Source organism: Homo sapiens, chromosome 11, assembly GCF_000001405.40.
Source record: "Homo sapiens chromosome 11, GRCh38.p14 Primary Assembly".
Lineage (NCBI taxonomy): Eukaryota > Metazoa > Chordata > Mammalia > Primates > Hominidae > Homo > Homo sapiens.
The window spans coordinates 38,184,736-38,205,949 of record NC_000011.10 but is presented as its reverse complement, the minus strand read 5'-3'; the positions used below and the strand labels follow the sequence as shown (position 1 = coordinate 38,205,949).

Genomic DNA, 21,214 nt, shown 5'->3' with positions numbered 1-21,214 from the left:
CTGATTCTGATTTTATTTTTGTCTTCTTTCTATTTTTCTTACATAGTCTAACTAAAGAGTTTTTGATTTTGTTCATCTTTTCAAAAAACAAACTTATTATCTTTTTTATTTTTTATTTTTCTTATTTTACTTTAAGTTCTGGTATACAAGTACACAACGTGCAGATTTGTTATATAGGTATACATGTGCCATGGTGTTTTGCTGCGCTTATCAACCCATCATCTAGGTTTTAAACCCGGATACATTAGCTATTTGTCCTATAGTTGGGTCTTTTTTTATTATTATACTTTAAGTTCTAGGGTACGTGTGCACAGCATGCAGGTTTGATACATAGGTATACATGTGCCACGTTGGCTTGCTGCAACCATCAACTCATCATTTACATTAGGTATTTCTCTTAATGCTATCCCTCCCCCAGCCTCCCAACCCCCACATCCATTCAACCACTCTGTGTCTTTTAATTAGAGAATTTAGCCTATTTACATTCAGTATTATTATTGATAAGTAAGGAGTTATTACTATCATTTTGTTGCTGGCTTTCTTGTTGTTTTGTGTCCCCTCTATTCTTCTTCTTCTTTTTTTTTTTCTTTTGTCATCCTTGGTGGTTAAGTGAGTTTTTTCTGGTACTATGCTTTAATTTGTTGGTTGCTCTCCCTCCCCTCGCCCCCGAAACCCGACTGGCCCCTGAGTGTATTACCTTCTATGTGTCCATGTGTTCTCATTGTTCAACTCCCACTTATGTGTGAGAACATGTGGTGTTTGGTTTTCTGTTCCTCTGTTAGTTTGCTGAGGATGATGGCTTCCAGCTCCATCCATGTCCCTGAAAATGACATGATCTCATTCCTTTTTCTGGCAGCATAGTGTTTTATGGTGTATAGGTACCACATTTTCTTTATCCAGTCAATCATTAATGGGCATTTAGGTTGGTTCCCTGTCTTTGCTACTGTAAATAGTGCTGCAATAAACATATGTGTACATGCATCTTTATAGTAGAACAATTTATATTCCTTTGGGTATATACCCAGTAATGGGATTGCTGGGTCAACTGGTATATCTTGTTCTAGTTCCTTGAGGAATGGCCACACAGACTTACAGAATGGTTGAACTCATTTACATTCCTACCAACAATGTAAAAGTGTTCCCATTTCTCCACAGCCTCACCAGCATCTATTGTTTATTGACTTTTTAATAATCGCCATCCTGACTGACATGAGATGGTACCTCATTGTAGTTTGGATTTGCATTTATCTAATGACCATTGATGATGAGCTTTTTTTCATACATTTGTTGACTACATAAATGTCTTCTTTTGAGAAGTGTCTGTTCATATATTTAGCCCACTTATTGATGGGTTTTTTTTCTTGTACATTTGTTAATGTTCCTTGTAGATTCTGGATATTAGCCCTTTGTCAGATGGATATATTGCAAAATTTTCTCTCATTCTGTAGGTTGCCTGTCCACTCTGATGATAGTTTTTATATTGCTTTTTTAGTCCTAAATTTTTTATTTTTGCTCTGATTATTGTTATTTTTTCCTTCCACTAACTTTGAGTTTGATTTATTCTTGCCTTTCTAGTTCATTGAGGTATATCACTAGGTTGTGTGTTTAAATCTTTCAGCTTTTTTGATGTAGGTGTTTATTGCTCTAAACTTCCTTGCAAGTACTGCTTTTCTGTATCTGATAGATTTTTGTATCTTTTATTTTCATTTCCATTTGTTTCAAGAAATTTTTAAATTTTCTTTTTAATTAATTCATTGACCAATTTGTCATTCAAAAGTATGTTAATTTCTACGTGTTTGTGTCGTTTCTAAGGTTCTCTTGCTATTGGTTTCTAGCTTTATTCCATCATGATCTGAAAAATATTTTAAATGATTTCTACTCTTTGAATTTGTTGAGGCTTGCCTCGTGACCTAAGATATGATCTATTCAGGAGAATGTTTCATGTGCTGATGAAAAGAATGTGTTTTGTGTATCGGTTGGATTAAATATTCTGTAGATGTCAGTTAGGCCTATTTGGTCTAGTGTATAATTTAATTCAATGTTTCTTTCTTGATTTTTTTGTCTACCCGATCTGTCCATTCCTGAGTGTGAGGTGATGAACGCTCCTGCTATTATTGTTTCAGTCTATCTCTCCCTTTAGATTTATTATTTTGTTTTATATACATGGGTGCTCTAGTGTGTAGTGCATAGATTTTTATAATTCTTACATCTTTTGCTATGTAATCATTTTAGCATTATATAATGATCTTTGTCTCTTTTTATAGTCTCTGACAAGTAGTCTATTTTATCTGGTATATGTGTAGCTACTCTTGTTTTTTTCTGTTTTCATTTGTATGAAATACATTTTTTTCATCTCTTCACTTTCAGTCTATGTCTATCTTTATAGGTAAGATGGGATTTTCATAGGGAGCATATAGTTGGGTATTTTTTTTTATTATACTTTAAGTTCTAGGGTACATGTGAACAACATGCAGGTTTGACATAGGTATACATGTGCCATGTTGTTTTGCTGCACCCATCAACTCATCATTTACATTAGGTATTTCTCCTAATGCTTTCCCTCCCCCAGCCTCCCACCCCCGCCCCCCCGCATCCATTCAACCACTCTGTGTCTTTTAATTAGAGAATTTAGCTTATTTACATGCAGTATTATTATTGATAAGTAAGGAGTTATTACTGTCATTTTGTTGCTGGCTTTCTCATTGTTTTGTATCCCCTCTATTCTTCTTCTTTTTTTTTTTCTTTTGTCATCCTTGGTGGTTAAGTGATTTTTTTCTGGTACTATGCTTTAATTTGTTGGTTTTTATTTTTAGTGTATCTATTTCAGGTTTTGAATTGTGGTTACTACAAGGTTTACAAAAAACATAGACATAAAACATAACTTTAAATAGATAAAAACTTAGATCACAGAAAGAGTAAACAAAAACAAACAATGTCTATACTTTATCTTTAGTCTCCCCATTTTGATGTTTGTTTATCTCAATTTACATGTTTTGTGTTGCCTGTCTGTTAACAGAGTGCTATAGCTATTGTCGTTATTGATAGACTTGTTTGGGCTTCATGGTAGAGTTTAAGTGGATTGTACACCACAGTTACAGTACGTGAATATTCTGGAGTTGTCTTTGTACTTAATTTTACCAGTGGGTTTTATATCTTCATTTTTTTTTCCTGCACATTAGTGATTTCTTTTCTGATTGAATAATTCACTTTAGCATTTTTGGTAAGACCAGACCTGGTGGTTATAAATTCTCTTAGGTTTGTTTGTTTCAGGAAGACTTTACCTCTCATTCATAATAAAAGACTAACTTGGTTGAATAAAGTATTCTTAAATATCAGTTTCTCTTTTTTTTTCAGCATTTAGAAAATTTGGTCCCACTCCTTTCTGGTCTGTATGGTTTCCATTGAGAAGTCTGTTGCCAGATGAGTTGGAGTTCCTTTATATGTTATTTGCATTTTTTTTTTAATCTTGCTGTTTTAGGATCCTCTCTTTGCCTTTGACCTTTGAGAGTTGGATTACCAAATGCCTTAAGGTTCTATATTTAGCAAACCTGTTTGGCGTTCTCTTACCTTCTTGTACCTAGACATTCATGTTATTCTCGAGTTTTGGAAAGTATTCTGTTATTATTTCTTTTAATAAGCTCTCTACTCCTTGCTCTTGCTCAATTCCCCCTTTAACATCAATAATCCTTAGATTTGGTCTTTTGAGGTATGTTTATTAGGTATCTCCATTTCTTTTTATTCTTTTTTTCCTTTTTTCTCTTCTGATTGTATAATTTCAAATAGCTTATCTCTGAGCTCACTGATTTTTTATTTTTCTCTGCTTGGCCCATCTGCTGTTTTAAACCTCCAGTGAATTTTTCAGTGTAGCAAATGTATTTCTCAGTTTTAAATTTCTGGGTTTTTGTTTTCTTTAATCATTTTGTTAAATTTCTCTGATAAATTTCTGAATTGTTTTTCTGTGTTATCCTTGGAGATCACTGATTTTCCCTAAAACTTTTATTTGGAATTATTGGTCAGAGATCTCACATATTGCCATCTCATTGAGGTCAGTTACTGGTACCTTGCTTTGTCTGTTTCTGGTGGTCATAGTTCCCTGATAGCTGTTGTTTCTTGTAAATGTATTGTACATCAACGTCTTTGCTTTGAAGATTTATTTATTTATTCCAGTATTCTCTATCTGGCTTGTTTTGGTTTTTGTTGGTTATATTTGCTTAGAGATTCTTTATAATTTACCTGTGAAATTTCTTAATTTTTTCCTAGGTCACTGCCTACTTTTTGGCACCAGATGTTACCTAAAGCTCAGGATTGCCTCAGCTCTAGCAAATCATAAGTGCTTCCTGGCAAGAATAGGGGAGGTCACAAATGGGATATCCTGGGAGCATAAAAAGGCCAGCTAGGGGTTTGAGCCCAGGACACTTACAGAATGTACCTCCTACAGCATGATGCTGCTGAATATGAATAGAAATCCTATTCTGATTTGTGATCTCCTTTGGCCAAGTTACAGAGCAGGGTTTCCAGAGATGGGGATGATGTTACCACCTTTCCCCTTTCTCTCTGGCTGTCCTCAAAGATTTGTCTCCCTGGCCGGGCGCGGTGGCTCACGCCTGTAATCCCAGCATTTTGGGGGGCCGAGGCGGGCAGATCACGAGGTCAGGAGATCGAGACCATCCTGGCTAACAAGGTGAAACCCCGTCTCTACTAAAAATACAAAAAATTAGCTGGGCGTGGTGGCGGGCGCCTGTAGTCCCAGCTACTGGGGAGGCTGAGGCAGGAGAATGACGTGTACCTGGGAGGCGGAGCTTGCAGTGAGCCGAGACTGGGCCACTTTACTCCAGCCTGGGAGACAGAGCAAGACTCTGTCTCAAAAAAACAAACAAACAAAAAGATTTGTCTCCCTTCAGGTACTCACAATACTTCTCATGGATTGAGGCATGAAAAGGTCTCCTGATGAAGGACTCAAGTTGGTGGAGAAGCTGATCGTCCACCTCGATCTCACTTTTTCCAGTGTAGAAATGGTAAGTTGGGGGAAATTTTTTGCACTCTTGGTGCTAGACAGATTGGGGGGATAGTTGTTGCATATAGGAAATTAAATTATCTTACTGTCTGCTCAGAGTTTTTAAGCTTTCTGTGGCGCTGGGAAATGACTTATCCTCATCTTTGAGTTCTGGAATATTGCCGGTGACAATCTCAGTGCCTTACATTTTTTTGGTTTTCTGTGGGTAGCAGGGAAGCCAGCTGCCATTTTGGAACTGAAAGTCTCCTCTGCTATGATACTTTCTATGACACCAACAATTTTACCACATTTGCTTTTGCAAAATCAGTGTAAATTTCAACAGAGTGAACAAAGTCAATTAATGTTTTATCATTACTAAAACAATAGTTTGACCTTGTAGATACTCTAAAAGCATATATTTTAATAATATATTAATAAGAGTATCCACAGCTTCCTGGACTACAATTTGAGAAGCATTGCAGTAAAGTGTAGCCCTTGCATAACTTGCCATGAGTGTGCAGTATGCTACAAGCATTAGTCAGTTTCTTTTCTTTCTTTTTTTTTTTTTTTTGAGATGGAGTCTCCCCCCGTCCCCCAGGCTGGAGTGCAATGGCACCATCTTGGCTCACTGTAACCTCTACCTCCTGGGTTCAAGCCATTCTTCTGCCTCAGCCTCCTGAGTAGCTGGGATTACAGGTGCCCACCACCACACCTGGCTAATTTTTGTATTTTTGGTAGCAACAGAGTTTTGCCATTTTAACCAGGCTGGTCTCGAACTCCTGACCTCAGATAATCCACCTGCCTCAGGCTCCCAAAGTGCTGGGATTACAGGCCTAAGCCACGGGGCCCAGCCAGTCAGTTTCTTTTCACAGAGGGGAGCTCTTATTTTTCCAGCTAGCTGGATAGTTTGATTAAAAAGACCTCGGTCATTTAAATTAGTGACATAGAAAATTATATAATTTTGTTGCCAAATTCTTTGTATTAGTTTTCTGTAGCATTTGTATAACATTTTAAAAAGGTGTATATTATTAGCCCCATTTTCTAGATTAATAAATTGAGACTATTATTTTTTGAACATAATAATAGGCTTTTTTTCATAAGACTAGTGTTTTGTTAAAAAGATTTAGTCTCATATGGGAATTGGAATTGAACAAAAATATTGTCTTAGGTCGATTTTCACTGAGAAATATGTTTTTATTTTTAAGCTCATAAACTCATACTGATCAACATCAATTACAGGACAATATCTGAGACCTCAGTTCAAAAAAACAAGTAACTGTATTTAACTGAAGAAGGTCACTGTTAATCCTAGTCAATAAAGTAACTAATAGATAATCCCTTTTTAAAGATACCAGCTCAAGTTCAGTCTTTAAAATGGCATTTTCTTCTGACAATATGTAAACACTAAAGAAGAAAACTTTTAAAAAATATTTTTCTTTAGTTTTATATTTAAAATAACCAATTCTGTTATTTAAAGTATTTTAATGTTGTTTTCTCCAATACAATACATTACTTCATTAATCTCATTGTTTAGTATTCTAAACCAATATTCTTTTATTAGGTTTGTTTGTTTGCTGTGGCTTCTGGTCTGGGTGGAAAATTAGTTTTTGAACAAATTCAATATATGTGGAAAGAAATTAAATGTCCTGAATAACCATTGTGTTGTTCTTGCAGAATTTTATTTTTCTATGGGCAAACTTTTAAAGTTTTCAGTATCTTAAGCTTATGGAGTTGAATTACAGCCTCTTCTTCTCGAAAGTGTTACTTCATAGAGATATGTGTTCCTTAATTAGTTAGAATTTTGGCTTTTTGTTATGTCTGGTGGTATATTCTGTGATACAATGTAGGATGGGATGCTGAAGTTTTGTTCTTAAAGAGAAAAACCTTTGCATTATCCTCAGGATGCCTAAACAATTACCACCCCCTAAATCAGTCAACTAATTAATCAGTCCTATTACCAAAATGGCCAACCTGCTCATCTGACCATCTCAGGTTGTAATTGTGTCTTGGCAATACACAGCAGCAGCTCCCATACTTTGTATATGGAGCCACCCTTGAATGAAAGTGTATTCGGCATCCTGGTAATCCTGTGAACCTGTGTTCCTAAAATCAAATAACTCCCCACAACTTTAGTGTCAGCAAATTTTTCTTTACTATGCTGAAAGTAATATATCTTCAATTGTATAAATGAAGCCAGATAGCTTAAAAGTGTTTTCAGCTGATAGTCTTGGTTATCTGAAGGGCCATTCTTAACATCTTTCAAGTCTGTCTAGGCCTTTTCTTACCTCTGTCTTTTAGACTTTTACATAACAATCTGTTTTTTGCTGAGGGGGTGAAGGTTGTTTGTTTTTGAGGACAAAGAATGTACCTTCACCTCTGTCTGTTCATCTTTCTGTTAAACAATACAACTATACCCTTCATTGAGGCATTGAAAACCACACCCTACAGGCAGATGGGCTAAGATTTCACCATGGACCCAGAGGAAAATCCTGTCCTTCAAGTGAGAGAAACCAAGTCACAAAATAGCAGCCACAAATTCCACAAGGAATTTGGCTTGATAATACACTGTGTGCATTGATAATGTACAGTAGCCATTGAAGATACACTGACCAGGTCCAAAATAAAAAGGTAAAACCTGCAGAAACTTGACTGCCGTCTATTGCAATGCTTTTAATCTGCAATAACATCTTCATCAAAATTCAGTGACGATTCTTAATATTTTACCAGGAAATTACATTAATGAACAGGTGAATTTTTCAATCAATCAGAAATTGTAATCCTGCCGTCAATTTCTTTTCACTTCCCTTGGATTCGTACCACTTTGTTCTTCTTGAGGTTAAATTTTTCTGTTTATTTAAAAAAATTGTTTCATTCATTTATCTGTTACCTTAAAAATTTCTCAGACACTAAAACTTGTGGCTATAAAAACAAGAAAAATGAGACACCTGTCTTCAAAGAGTTTACATTTAATCAGACAATCCATTGACAGTGTAAGTGCTATGTAAAGTTGCAATTGAGATAAATAGCATCTTTTTTTTTCTCAGAAGAAATGACATTTGAATTTTATTTTATTGTATTATTATTATACTTTAAGTTTTAGGGTACATGTGCACAATGTGCAGGTTAGTTACATATGTATACATGTGCCATGCTGGTGTGCTGCACCCAGTAACTCGTCATTTAGCATTAGGTATTATCTCCTAAAGCTATCCCTCCCCGCTCTCCCCACCCCACAACAGTCCCCTAAGTGTGATGTTCCCCTTCCTGTGTCCATGTGTTCTCATTGTTCAATTCCCACCTATGAGTGAGAACATGCGGTGTTTGGTTTTTTGTTCTTGCAATAGTTTACTGAGAATGATGATTTCCAATTTCATCCATGTCCCTACAAAGGACATGAACTCATCATTTTTTATGGCTGCATAGTATTCCATGGTGTATATGTGCCACATTTTCTTAATCCAGTCTATCATTGTTGGACATCTGGGTTGAAACCAAGTCTTTGCTATTGTGAATAGTGCCTCAATAAACATATGTGTGCATGTGTCTTAGCAGCATGATTTATAGTCCTTTGGGTATACACCGAGTAATGGGATGGCTGGGTCAAATGGTATTTCTAGTTCTAGATCCCTGAAGAATCGCCACACTGACTTCCACAATGGTTGAACTAGTTTACAGTCCCACCAACAGTGTAAAAGTGGTCCTATTTCTCCACATCCTCTCCAGCACCTGTTCTTTCCTGTCTTTTTAATGATTGCCATTCTAACTGGTGTGAGATGGTATCTCATTGTGGTTTTGATTTGCATTTCTCTGATGGCCAGTGATGGTGAGCATTTTTTCATGTGTTTTTTGGCTGCATAAATGTCTTCTTTTGAGAAGTGTCTGTTCATGTCCTTTGCCCACTTTTTGATGGGGTTGTTTTTTTCTTGTAAATTTGTTTGAGTTCATTGTAGATTCTGGATATTAGCCCTTTGTCAAATGAGTAGGTTGTGAAAATTTTCTCCCATGTTGTAGGTTGCCTGTTCACTCTGATGGTAGTTTCCTTTGCTGTGCAGAAGCTCTTTAATTTAATTAGATCCCGTTTGTCAATTTTGGCTTTTGTTGCCATTGCTTTTGGTGTCTTAGAGATGAAGTCCTTGCCCATGCCTATGTCCTGAATGGTAATGCCTAGGTTTTCTTCTAGGGTTTTTATGGTTTTAGGTCTAACGTTTAAGTCTTTAATCCATCTTGAATTGATTTTTGTATAAGGTGTAAGGAAGGGATCCAGTTTCAGCTTTCTACATATGGGTAGCCAGTTTTCCCAGCACCATTTATTAAATAGGCAATCCTTTCCCCATTGCTTGTTTTTCTCAGGTTTCTCAAAGATCAGATAGTTATACATATGCGGTGTTATTTCTGAGGGCTTTGTTCTGTTCCATTGATCTATATCTCTGTTTTGGTACCAGTGCCATGCTTATTTGGTTACTGTAGCCTTGTAGTATAGTTTGAAGTCAGGTAGCGTGATGCCTCCAGCTTTGTTCTTTTGGCTTAGGATTGACTTGGCGATGCAGGCTCTTTTTTGGTTCCATATGAACTTTAAAGTAGTTTTTTCCAATTCTGTGAAGAAAGTCATTGGTAGCTTGATGGGGATGGCATTGAATCTATAAATTACCTTGGGCAGTATGGCCATTTTCATGATATTGATTCTTCCTACCCATGAGCATGGAATGTTCTTCCATTTGTTTGTATCCTCTTTTATTTCATTGAGCAGTGGTTTGTAGTTCTCCTTGAAGAGGTCCTTCACGTCCCTTGTAATTTGGATTCCTAGGTATTTTATTCTGTTTGAAGCAATTGTGAATGGGAGTTCGCTCATGATTTGGCTCTCTGTTTGTCTGTTATTGGTGTATAAGAATGCTTGTGATTTTTGTACATTGATTTTGTATCCTGAGACTTTGCTGAAGTTGCTTATCAGCTTAAGGAGATTTTGGGCTGAGACGATGGGGTTTTCTAGATATACAATCATGTCATCTGCAAACAAGGATAATTTGACTTCCTCTTTTCCTAATTGAATACCCTTTATTTCCTTCTCCTGCCTAATTGCCCTGGCCAGAACTTCCAACACTATGTTGAATAGGAGTGGTGAGAGAGGACATCCCTGTCTTGTGCCAGTTTTCAAAGGGAATGCTTCCAGTTTTTGCCCATTCAGTATGATATTGGCTGTGGGTTTGTCATAGATAGCTCTTATTGAGATACGTCCCATCAATACCTAATTTATTGAGAGTTTTTAGCACGAAGAGTTGGTGAATTTTGTCAAAGGCCTTTTCTGCATCTATTGAGATAATCATGTGGTTTTTGTCTTTGGTTCTGTTTATATGCTGGATTACATTTATTGATTTGCATATATTGAACCAGCCTTGCATCCCAGGGATGAAGCCCACTTGATCATGGTGAATAAGCTTTTTGATGTGCTGCTGGATTCGGTTTGCCAGTATTTTATTGAGGATTTTTGCATCAATGTTCATCAAGGATACTGGTCTAAAATTCTCTTTTTTGGTTGTGTCTCTGCCCAGCTTTGGTATCAGGATGATGCTGGCCTCATAAAATGAGTTAGGGAGGATTCCCTCTTTTTCTATTGATTGGAATAGTTTCAGAAGGAATGGTACCAGTTCCTCCTTGTACCTCTGGTAGAATTCGGCTGTGAATCTATCTGGTCCTGGATTCTTTTTGGTTGGTAAGCTATTGATTATTGCCACAATTTCAGAGCCTGTAATTGGTCTATTCAGAGGTTCAACTTCTGCCTGGTTTAGTCTTGGGTGAGTGTATGTATCGAGGAATGTATCCATTTCTTCTAGATTTTCTAGTTTATTTGCGTAGAGGTGTTTATAGTATTCTCTGATGGTAGTTTGTATTTCTGTAGGATCGGTGGTGATATCCCCTTTATCATTTTTTATTGTTTCTATTTGATTCTTCTCTCTTTTCTTCTTTATTTTTCTTGCTAGCGGTCTATCAATTTTGTTGATCCTTTCAAAAAACCAGCTCCTGGATTCATTAATTTTTTGAAGGGTTTTTCGTGTCTCTATTTCCTTCAGTTCTTCTCTGATTTTAGTTATTTCTTGCCTTCTGCTAGCTTTTGAATGTGTTTGCTCTTGTTTTCTAGTTCTTTTAATTGTGATGTTAGGGTATCAATTTTGGATCTTTCCTGCTTTCTCTTGTGGGCATTTAGTGCTATGCATTTCCCTCTACACACTGCTTTGAATGTGTCCCAGAGATTCTGGTATGTTGTGTCTTTGTTCTCGTTGGTTTCAAAGAACATCTTTATTTCTGCCTTCATTTCATTATGTACCTAGTAGTCATTCAGGCGCAGGTTGTTCAGTTTCCATGTAGTTGAGTGGTTTTGGGTGAGTTTCTTAATCCTGAGTTCTAGTTTGATTGCACTGTGGTCTGAGAGACAGTTTGTTATAATTTCTGTTCTTTTACATTTGCTGAGGAGAGCTTTACTTCCAACTATGTGGTCAATTTTGGAATAGGTGTGGTGTGGTGCTGAAAAAAAAGTATGTTCTGTTGATTTGGGGTGGAGAGTTCTGTAGATGTCTATTAGGTCCGCTTGGTGCAGAGCTGAGTTCAATTCCTGGGTATCCTTGTTAACTTTCTGTCTCGTTGATCTGTCTAATGTTGACAGTGGGGTGTTAAAGTCTCCCATTATAATTGTGTGGGAGTCTCAGTCTCTTTTTGGTCACTCAGGACTCGCTTTAGGAATCTGGGTGCTCCTGTATTGGGTGCATATATATTTAGGATAGTTAGCTCTTCTTGTTAATTGATCCCTTTACCCTTATGTAATGTCCTTGTCTCTTTTGATTTTTGTTGGTTTAAAGTCTGTTTTATCAGAGACTAGGATTGCAACCCCTGCCTTTTTTTGTTTTCCATTTGCTTGGTAGATCTTCCTCCATCCTTTTATTTTGAGCCTATGTGTGTCTCTGCACGTGAGATGGGTTTCCTGAATACAGCACACTGATGGGTCTTGACTCTTTATGCAATTTGCCAGTCTGTGTCTTTTAATTGGAGCATTTAGTCCATTTACATTTAAAGTTATTATTGTTATGTGTGAATTTGATCCTGTCATTATGATGTTAGCTGGTTATTTTGCTCGTTAGTTGATGCAGTTTCTTCCTAGCCTCGATGGTCTTTACAATTTGGCATGATTTTGCAGTGGCTGGTACTGGTTGTTCCTTTCCATGTTTAGTGCTTCCTTCAGGAGCTCTTTTAGGGCAGGCCTGGTGGTGACAAAATCTCTCAGCATTTGCTTGTCTGTAAAGTATTTTATTTCTCCTTGACTTATGAAACTTAGTTTGGCTGGATATGAAATTCTGGGTTGAAAATTCTTTTCTTTAAGAATGTTGAATATTGACCCCCAGTCTCTTCTTCTGGCTTGTAGAGTTTCTGCCGAGAGATCAGCTGTTAGTCTGATGGGCTTCCCTTTGTGGGTAACCCAACCTTTCTCTCCGGCTGCTCTTAACATTTTTTCCTTCATTTCAACTTTGGTGAATCTGACAATTATGTGTCTTGGAGTTGCTCTTCTCGAAGAGTATCTTTGTGGTGTTCTCTATATTTCCTGAATTTGAATGTTGGCCTGCCTTGCTAGATTGGGGAACTTCTCCTGGATAATATCCTGCAGAGTGTTTTCCAACTTGGTTCCATTCTCCCCATCACTTTCAGGTACACCAATCAGACATAGATTTGGTCTTTTCACATAGTCTCATATTTCATGGAGGCTTTGTTCATTCCTTTTTATTCTTTTTTCTCTAAACTGCCCTTCTTGCTTCATTTCATTCATTTCATCTTCCATCACTGATACCCCTTCTTCCAGTTGATCGCATCAGCTCCTGAGGCTTCTGCATTCTTCAGGTACTTCTCGAGCCTTGGCTTTCAGCTCCATCAGCTCCTTTAAGCACTTCTCTGTATTGGTTATTCTAGTTATACGTTCGTCTAAATTTTTTTCAAAGTTTTCAGCTTCTTTGCCTTTGGTTAGAATTTCCTCCTGTAGCTCGGAGTAGTTTGATCGTCTGAAGCCTTCTTCTCTCAACTCGTCAAAGTCATTCTCCGTCCAGCTTTGTTCTGTTGCTGGTGAGGAGCTGCGTTCCTTTGGAGGAGGAGAGGCACTCTGCTTTTTAGAGTTTCCAGTTTTTCTGCTCTGTTTTTCCCCCATCTTTGTGGTTTTATCTACTTTTGGTCTTTGATGATGGTGATGTACAGATGGGTTTTTGGTGTGGATGTCCTTTCTGTTTGTTAGTTTTCCTTCTAACAGACAGGACCCTCAGCTGCAGGTCTGTTGGAGTTTGCTAGAGGTCCAATCCAGACCCTGTTTGCCTGGGTACCAGCAGCAGTGGCTGCAGAACAGCGGATTTTCGTGAACCGCGAATGCTGCTGTCTCATGGTTCCCCTGGAAGTTTTGTCTCAGAGGAGTACCCGGCCGTGTGAGGTATCAGTCTGCCACTGCTGGGGGGTGCCTCCCAGTTAGGCTGCTTGGGGGTCAGGGGTCAGGGACCCACTTGAGGAGGCAGTCTGCCCGTTCTCAGATCTCCAGCTGCGTGCTGGGAGAACCACTGCTCTCTTCAAAGCTGTCAGACAGGGACATTTAAGTCTGCAAAGGTTACTGCTGTCTTTTTGTTTTGTCTGTGCCCTGCCCCCATAGGTGGAGCCTAGATAGGCAGGCAGGCCTCCTTCAGCTGTGGTGGGCTCCACCCAGTTGGAGCTTCCTGGCTGCTTTGTTTACCTAAGCAAGCCTGGGCAATGGCGGGCGCCCCTCCCCCAGCCTCGCTGCCACCTTGCAGTTTGATCTCAGACTGCTGTGCTAGCAATCAGTGAGACTCCGTGGGCATAGGACCCTCCGAGCCAGTTGTGGGATATAATCTCCTGGTGCGCCATTTTTTAAGCCTGTTGGAAAAGCACAGTATTAGGGTGGGAGTGACCCGATTTTCCAGGTGCCATCTGTCACCCCTTTCTTTGACTGGGAAAGGGAACTCCCTGACCCCTTGCGCTTCCCGAGTGAGGCAATGCCTCGCCCTGCTTCCGCTCGCACACGGTGCGCTGCACCCACTGTCCTGCGCCCACTGTCTGGTACTCCCTAGTGAGATGGACCCGGTACCTCAGATGGAAATGTAGAAATCACCCGTCTTCTGCGTCACTCACACTGGGAGCTGTAGACCGGAGCTGTTCCTATTCGGCCATCTTGGCTCCTCCCTCAATAGCATCTTATTAATGATTTTTGTCAAGATATGACTCTTATACATCGTGTCTATAAATGTACCTAATTAGCTTATGTGGGATGAAAAAAAGAAATAAGATTTCAAAGGTGTCATTGTCAATATATCTACAATAGTAAATTTAGCTCCCTGAAAGTGTCCTCAGTTTTTACAACCTTCTGAAATACGACCTTTTAATAAGTCACTCCGCCACCCTAACTCCATCTGCACCATCTGAAAAAAAAAAACAAGAAACAAATTATGGAATAATCTTCTTGACAGTTCCATATATTTCTAATGAATGGATGTTTCTGAGTCCCCATTGTTTGCCATCTCCACAGACAGGATTCAGTTAATGAAATGGCTAATTAGATTTCTGTAATCCTGTTGTCATTGTGTTTGAGGTGACATTTTGTCGGCATTTCTCTTGTGGCTTCTTCAGTTTAATGGGAAATATTCTTGCTTAGCCAACTTGGCTTTTGCTATTTTGTTGGAAAGGCAGTTCCCTCTATTGGTGTAATGAAATCATTGCCTTCCCAAATATAGCTCTGCCACTCAGCATTTAAATAGAAAAGAATAGGAAAATAATAATCTGATTAGACAAACAGGCCCATGTTCAAAATCCATTTCCAAAATCAAATAATAGAATTGGACTGAGTTCAGAGAGGAAGAATGACTTAGGTATTATTACATACAATAGTACATATTCTTTGACCAGCAGAATGTGGAAGGATTTAAAATCTTATATTCTTCTATTCTTTTTATGCTTCACAAGAGTGAAATTCTTAAAAAAAAATGGGAAGGATCTTATTTCAGGCAGCATTCTTAGACACTACCAACTATATTAGAGCAAAAAAGTGAAAGATCAGGGCCAAAGTCACCATTCAGTTATATATAATTTATATTATTGTAGGAATATATCAATTTTTAATGTCATTTGTATATAAGCTATGTATATATGAATCATTTATGTAATTTACATATATAAGCAATATATGAAAATCATTTTTGTGATTTATATATAAATGATTTAAAACATTAGGATGGTAAGTAGTATTACAATTTAGAATTTGATAATTGTTAAGTATATGACAATTTTATGTATTCGAATTTTAATAAATAGAATTTTATTGCTATAAGTTCTAATTTCTATTTTAAGTCATTTTCCTAGCAGAATGACACAAATTTGGTATTATTTTGAAAGTGATTCCCACACTTTCCATCAGATTATGTCTGAGTTTTTAATTCTTTTTAACTTTACTTGGGAGTGGAGGTTGGATGTATTTATCAAAGCCAAAGATCCACTCAAGCTTTCAACAAGGTGCCTTTAACTCATCTGACCCTCAGTCCTAAGTTCACACAGACCATACTCTTAAATATTCCTTGAGGCTCAGAAATGTTCTCTGCTGTTTCTGTGCTATTCAGAAGCATAGGAGACATCTACTTTCTTTCGACCGGGCATAGAAAATGTCTTTTAATCTAAGCAACTTACCTAACAAGATATGTGATATAGTGATTTTCCCATCCCAGATGTCTCAATTCATCTGTATAACATTATCCTAAATTGAATATAAAACTTCTGTCTCATCTTGAATCCCATAAACTTATATAGGGTTATGCCAGCTCTCCAGTGCTCTACCTCTTTTCTATACTAGAATCACCTTTGTTTATACACTCATCATTTCCATTTAGACCATATTTCCTTCTATGCCTATTCTCCACAAAATATTTATTTTCAAATTAAAAGACAGAAATTGGGAATAATAAAGGCTTGATATTCCTCACGATATCTTCTTCAAAGTTATTTATGTCTGCCGTAATGCTTTTGGTTCTTCAAGGGCCTTTGCTTTTGGGCCAAAAAAAAAAAAATGGCAAAAACAAAGTATTTTGCTCTCATATTCTGCTATGGCACATACATTCCCCGATGTAGTAAGTGAAAGATGACAAAAACTATGAGAAAAAAAGAGAAAAGGAAAATTAGAGAAAGGAGGAAAGAGTGGAAAAAATCAGTTCAAAAGTTCCTACAAGCATACAAAAAGATTGATTGTTCTGTGCCCATAGAAAACATGTGTGATGATTTTGTGTTTTCACCTTGGGTAGACTAAACTTTCTTTTCTGGAATTTCCTTGCTCATATGTTATTTGGGGGGTGAACTACAAGAGTTATTGTCTTACAAAAGTTGGAAGAAGGAAGGGAGAAATAACCATTTTGTATCATGCACATCCATTTTTTTCCTTATCCAATTATACACTAATATAGGTTGTTGTAGTGAAGAGATAATGTAACAAAAATCCGTAAAAAATGGTCATTAATTAAGAGAGATTATCCTGGGTGGGCATTACTTACTCAGTTGGAACCCCGTAGAAAAAGGCTTATTACTTCCCTGGGGAGAGAGAAAGAGACTCACTTTGACAATAGCTTGGCCCATACTCATGAAATTTCAGCCCACGCATGATTCTTCCTTTCTAACTACCTATTATATATGACGTTGGACTTGCATATATGTCTACACATATTCTGCCTCTGTGTCTGAGCTTGACTAATACAACCTATTCAATAATCAATGGCAACTCTGTTAAATAAACACATTTCCATCCAGCGGAGCTGAGTGAGTCTCTTGCTTCTGAAAAAGTCACCCGGTCAACAGTGAACATACTAGCTCTAAGTAGTGTGCCTCTGAATACCAACCAGGCAACAACAGTCTCATTCTAGTGACTGCAATTCTACAAATGATGTCATCTACTGAAACTTCTAGAAGGAAAATCTACCAATCCCTGAACTCCATTTTTCCCTGAATCCCTATATAAAATCAGTAGTCTTCTCTGCTCTGCTCTGCTCACAGAGACTATGACTGACAAGCATAGCTCTCTCTTGTTATAGTGAACAATAAAATCAGCTTTGTCTTTTTATTTTAGATATCTAGTAGCCTCATCATCCTTAAAATACTACTATGGACATTATATAAAAATATTATTCAGATTCCAGCCAGTTGTTGCCATCTGCATTAGCCAGTCCAAGCTAGCTCCATGTTGCCTGGATTATATCCTATTGGAAGTTTATTATTTACCTACAATTATTCTCTGTTTAATCAACCTTATGCAATTTTTACCTGTATTTATTTAAGACTGTTTAAAAGAAGTGCATTTTTTTCAAAAATCAAGTATGCATTTAATTAGGATGAATTCTTATCAAATATTTGGTCAATATTATTTCCTTATATAGCCACTCTCTTTAATATATTCTTAAAAGGATGACTTCGAAAATTGTAGAACGAAGCAATGGAGGAAATAATTCATATAAAGGGGCTTAGCAAAATTCCTAAAACAAAATAATTACCCCTAAAATTGTTGTTATTATTATGCTTAATTAGGATATTTTAATGAAGAAAACTGACTGTATTTTGACAGATAAAATGAATTGAGAATTTTCCTCTTTAATTTGACATGAAGAAAGTGAGAAAGAAAAGAAATAAGCATTTAAAAAAAGAATAACTATATTTTGTAAGAAGTTCATTAAAATGGTTTTAAAGTCCAAATGTAATGTTCAAAACTGAGAATAAGGGAAAAGTGTCAATTTACTTCAGAGAGGGGTGAATATAATGTGGGAAACACTTGAGAAATCACTTCAAAATTCTAGTACACAATTTTATAATCGCTTTTCAAACTATAATCACATTTATGCAGACTAAAATTTGAGAAAGTACTTCAATTAAGATTCATTAACAGTCTATTCAAGTTCAATAGTCAACAATCACTTTTATTTTGATGTATCTAGTCCTTGATTCACTTCTCATGTTTCTGAATATGCTGAAATAGGCCAGTAAATAACACAGAAAAAAAAAGCTAATCTCAATATCTGCTGGAAGTAGAAAATCAAAAAATGTGGAATTAAATGATTATTAAATGCTTTAATTTCCCTGAAATCATTATAGTCTGTAGTTCACATAATATAGAGTATGAATAATAAAGCTGGCTTACCATTTGACTTTTTTTAAGCCATTAACACCATTTTGTTCCTGTTCAAAATACTTCATTTATATTGAGAAAATACCATTTCCGAATAAATAACATGTTCTTTAAACTTCTATTGGTGTACAGTTTAGGATAAGGAAATAAAGCACTTTATCTCAAAAAATATTAATGTGTCTCTTGTAGATCTTATTTCAGATAAATCTGCATTATTGCAAGAAGTTTTCTGATTTCTCTTAGGATACTTTTTAATAACATGATTATCTTTTTTCTCAGTGACAGATTCATCTGTCAAGCAGTATCCCCAATGAGGGTGTGTACAAAAATAGGCCAGTAGTAAAAGCACATGCGATACCTTATTTTTGCAAACTGGGTCGCATTTAACTAACTTTTTTTCCTCCCATGATATTATGAATTATAAAGAACTTTATAAAAGCAAGTAATTGATCTTGTTCTTTTTGAGGCTACTTTTTTTTTTTTTTTTTTTTGAGACAGAGTCTCACTCTGCTGCCCAGGCTGGAGTACAGTGGCACGATCTTGGCTCACTGCAACCTCCGCCTCCCGGGTTCAAACGGTTCCTCTGCCTCAGCCCCCTCAGTAGCTGTGATTACAGGCAGACGCCACCATGCCCGGTTAATTTTTGTATTTTTAGTAGAGAAAGGGTTTCACCATATTGGCCAGGCTGGTCTTGAACTCCTGACCTCGTGATCTGCCTGCCTTGGCCTCCCAAAGTGCTGGAATTACAGGTGTGAGTGAGTCACTGTGCCCGGCTGAGATTTCTTAATAGAATTAGTATCTTATTTGGTCCTATGCTCAGGAAATAAGTGGAATAATGTGCCCATATGCAAATATGTCACGGTATTCATACTATATTTGCTCTAAATATGGAGCAATTTCAGATGTTGCCACTTTTATAATTCAGACACTCATGATAGCCATTATAATTCTTAACCTCATTTTTCATTGATCCAAACACAGCTAAAGATTGAGAATATGTGAGTGGAATAAAGAATGATATAACAAAAAGGAACGGAACCACTGCATGTGGGATAAAATAATGTTGAACTCATTCTAATCATCATTTTATTGTGTACTCCACCCCAATTCCTCTGTATAAGTGTTGAATTTGGTTTAGTAGAATGAGCAAAATCTTTGGAGCAACACAGAGCTGAATTTGAACATAGTTTGGTCAGGTACCGGGCAAAGTAATTTTCCCCTGAAGACCTAAATTTTCTCATCTACAAAATAAATGTAATAATAGCTATCTTATCCATTTGCTGTTAGCATTGCACAAGATAAACATAAAAATTTCTGGAAAAAGATAAGTGAAATAAAACAGAATAGGGTCCAGAAATAGACCCACATAGTCAACTGATCTGTGACAAAGGAGCAAATGTAATATGCTAGAGAAGAGACAGTCCTCAACAAATGGTACTAAAACAATTGGACATCTAAGATACAGAACTTACACCCTTTATAAAGCTATCTCAATATGGATAATAGATCAATGTGTAAAGCACAAAACCATAAAACTACTAGAAGGCAACAAGGGAAAATATAGATGACTTTAAGTATGATGATGAATTTTTTGGTACAACACTATGACTCGTGAAAGAAATAATTGCTAAACTTGGCTCTGTTAAAATTAAAAATCTCTGCTCTGCAAAAGACACTGTCAAGAAAATAAGATAAGCAACTGACTTGGAAAAAAATATTTGCAAAAGACATGTCTGATGAAGAACTATTATCCAAAATATACAAAGAATTTTTGAAACCCAACAATAAGAAAATAAATGGTTAAAATATCTGAATGAAAAATTCACCAAAAAAGATATACAGATGAAAAATAAACATATGGAAAGATGCTCCAGATGATATATCGTTAGAGAATTGCAAATTAAAACAATGATACCCAGTACACCTATTAACATGGCCAAAATTCCAAATACTGATGCTACGGTTTAAATGTGTCACCTTCAAAATTCAGGTGTTGCCAATATGATAGTATTAAGAGGTGGGGCCTTTAAGAGCTAATTAGGCCATAAGGGCTCATTTCTTGTGAATAAGATTAAGAAACTTTTAAAAGAGACTTTATGAAGCATTCAGTTAGCTTGCCCATCTGCCTATCACAATAGGAGGAAACAGCATTCCTCTTCGTCCAAGGATGTAGCAAAAAAGCCATCCTTTCTGAAAGAAGCTCTCACTAGACAACTGAACCTGCCAGCACCTTGAGTTTGGACTTTCCAGCTCCAAGACTATGAGACAATAATTTCTGTTCTTTATACATTACAGTCTCAGGTATTTTGTTTTAGCAGCACAAAATGAATGAAGACTACCAATAACACCAAATGATGGTAAGGATGTGGAGCAAGAGGAACTCTCTTTCATTGTTAGAAGCAATGTAAAATGGTACAGCCACTTTGAAAGACAGTTTGGCAGTTTATTAGAAAAGTAAACATACTCTTAGCATACTATTCAGCAACTGTGTTCCTTGGTATTTACCGAAAAGGACTTGAAAAACAAAGGCTTTTGTGTCCACACAAAAACCTGCACATGAATGTTAATAGCAGATTTATTCATGATTGCCAAAACTTGGAAGCAACCAAGATGCCCTCCAGTAGGTGAATGGATAAATAAACTGAGATACATTCAGGCACTGGAATCTATTCAGTGATAAAAAGAAATGAGGATTCAAGCCATAAAAACACATGGATGAAACTTAAACATACACTACTAAGTGAAAGAAGCCAATTTGAAAAGGCTACATACTGTATGATTCCAACCATATAATATTTTTAGAAAGGGCAAAACTATGAAGACAGTAAAAAGATCAGTGGTTGCCGGTAGTTAGAAGAAAGGGAGGAAGGAAGAATTAGAGGAATACAGAGGATTATTAGGGCAGTGAGACTATCCTGTATGATTCACAGGTGGATACATGTTATTGTACAACTGTCAGAATCCATTTAATCTAAAGCACCAAGAGAGACCCTTAATATGAACAATGGACTTTGAGTGATAATGATGTCTCAATGTGGGTC

The 21,214-nt window shown here is 36.8% G+C and overlaps 1 long non-coding RNA gene across 1 annotated transcript in view; it reads left to right on the top strand.

Annotated features, from left to right (window-relative positions):
• LOC105376634 (uncharacterized) overlaps positions 1-14,808 on the top strand; it is a 146,154-nt gene extending 131,346 nt beyond the window's left edge. The window contains exon 3 of the long non-coding RNA XR_931202.2: positions 4,902-14,808. This is a non-coding gene — a long non-coding RNA (uncharacterized LOC105376634). The remainder of the gene's footprint in view (positions 1-4,901) is intronic.
• Positions 14,809-21,214: the final 6,406 nt, after the last annotated feature.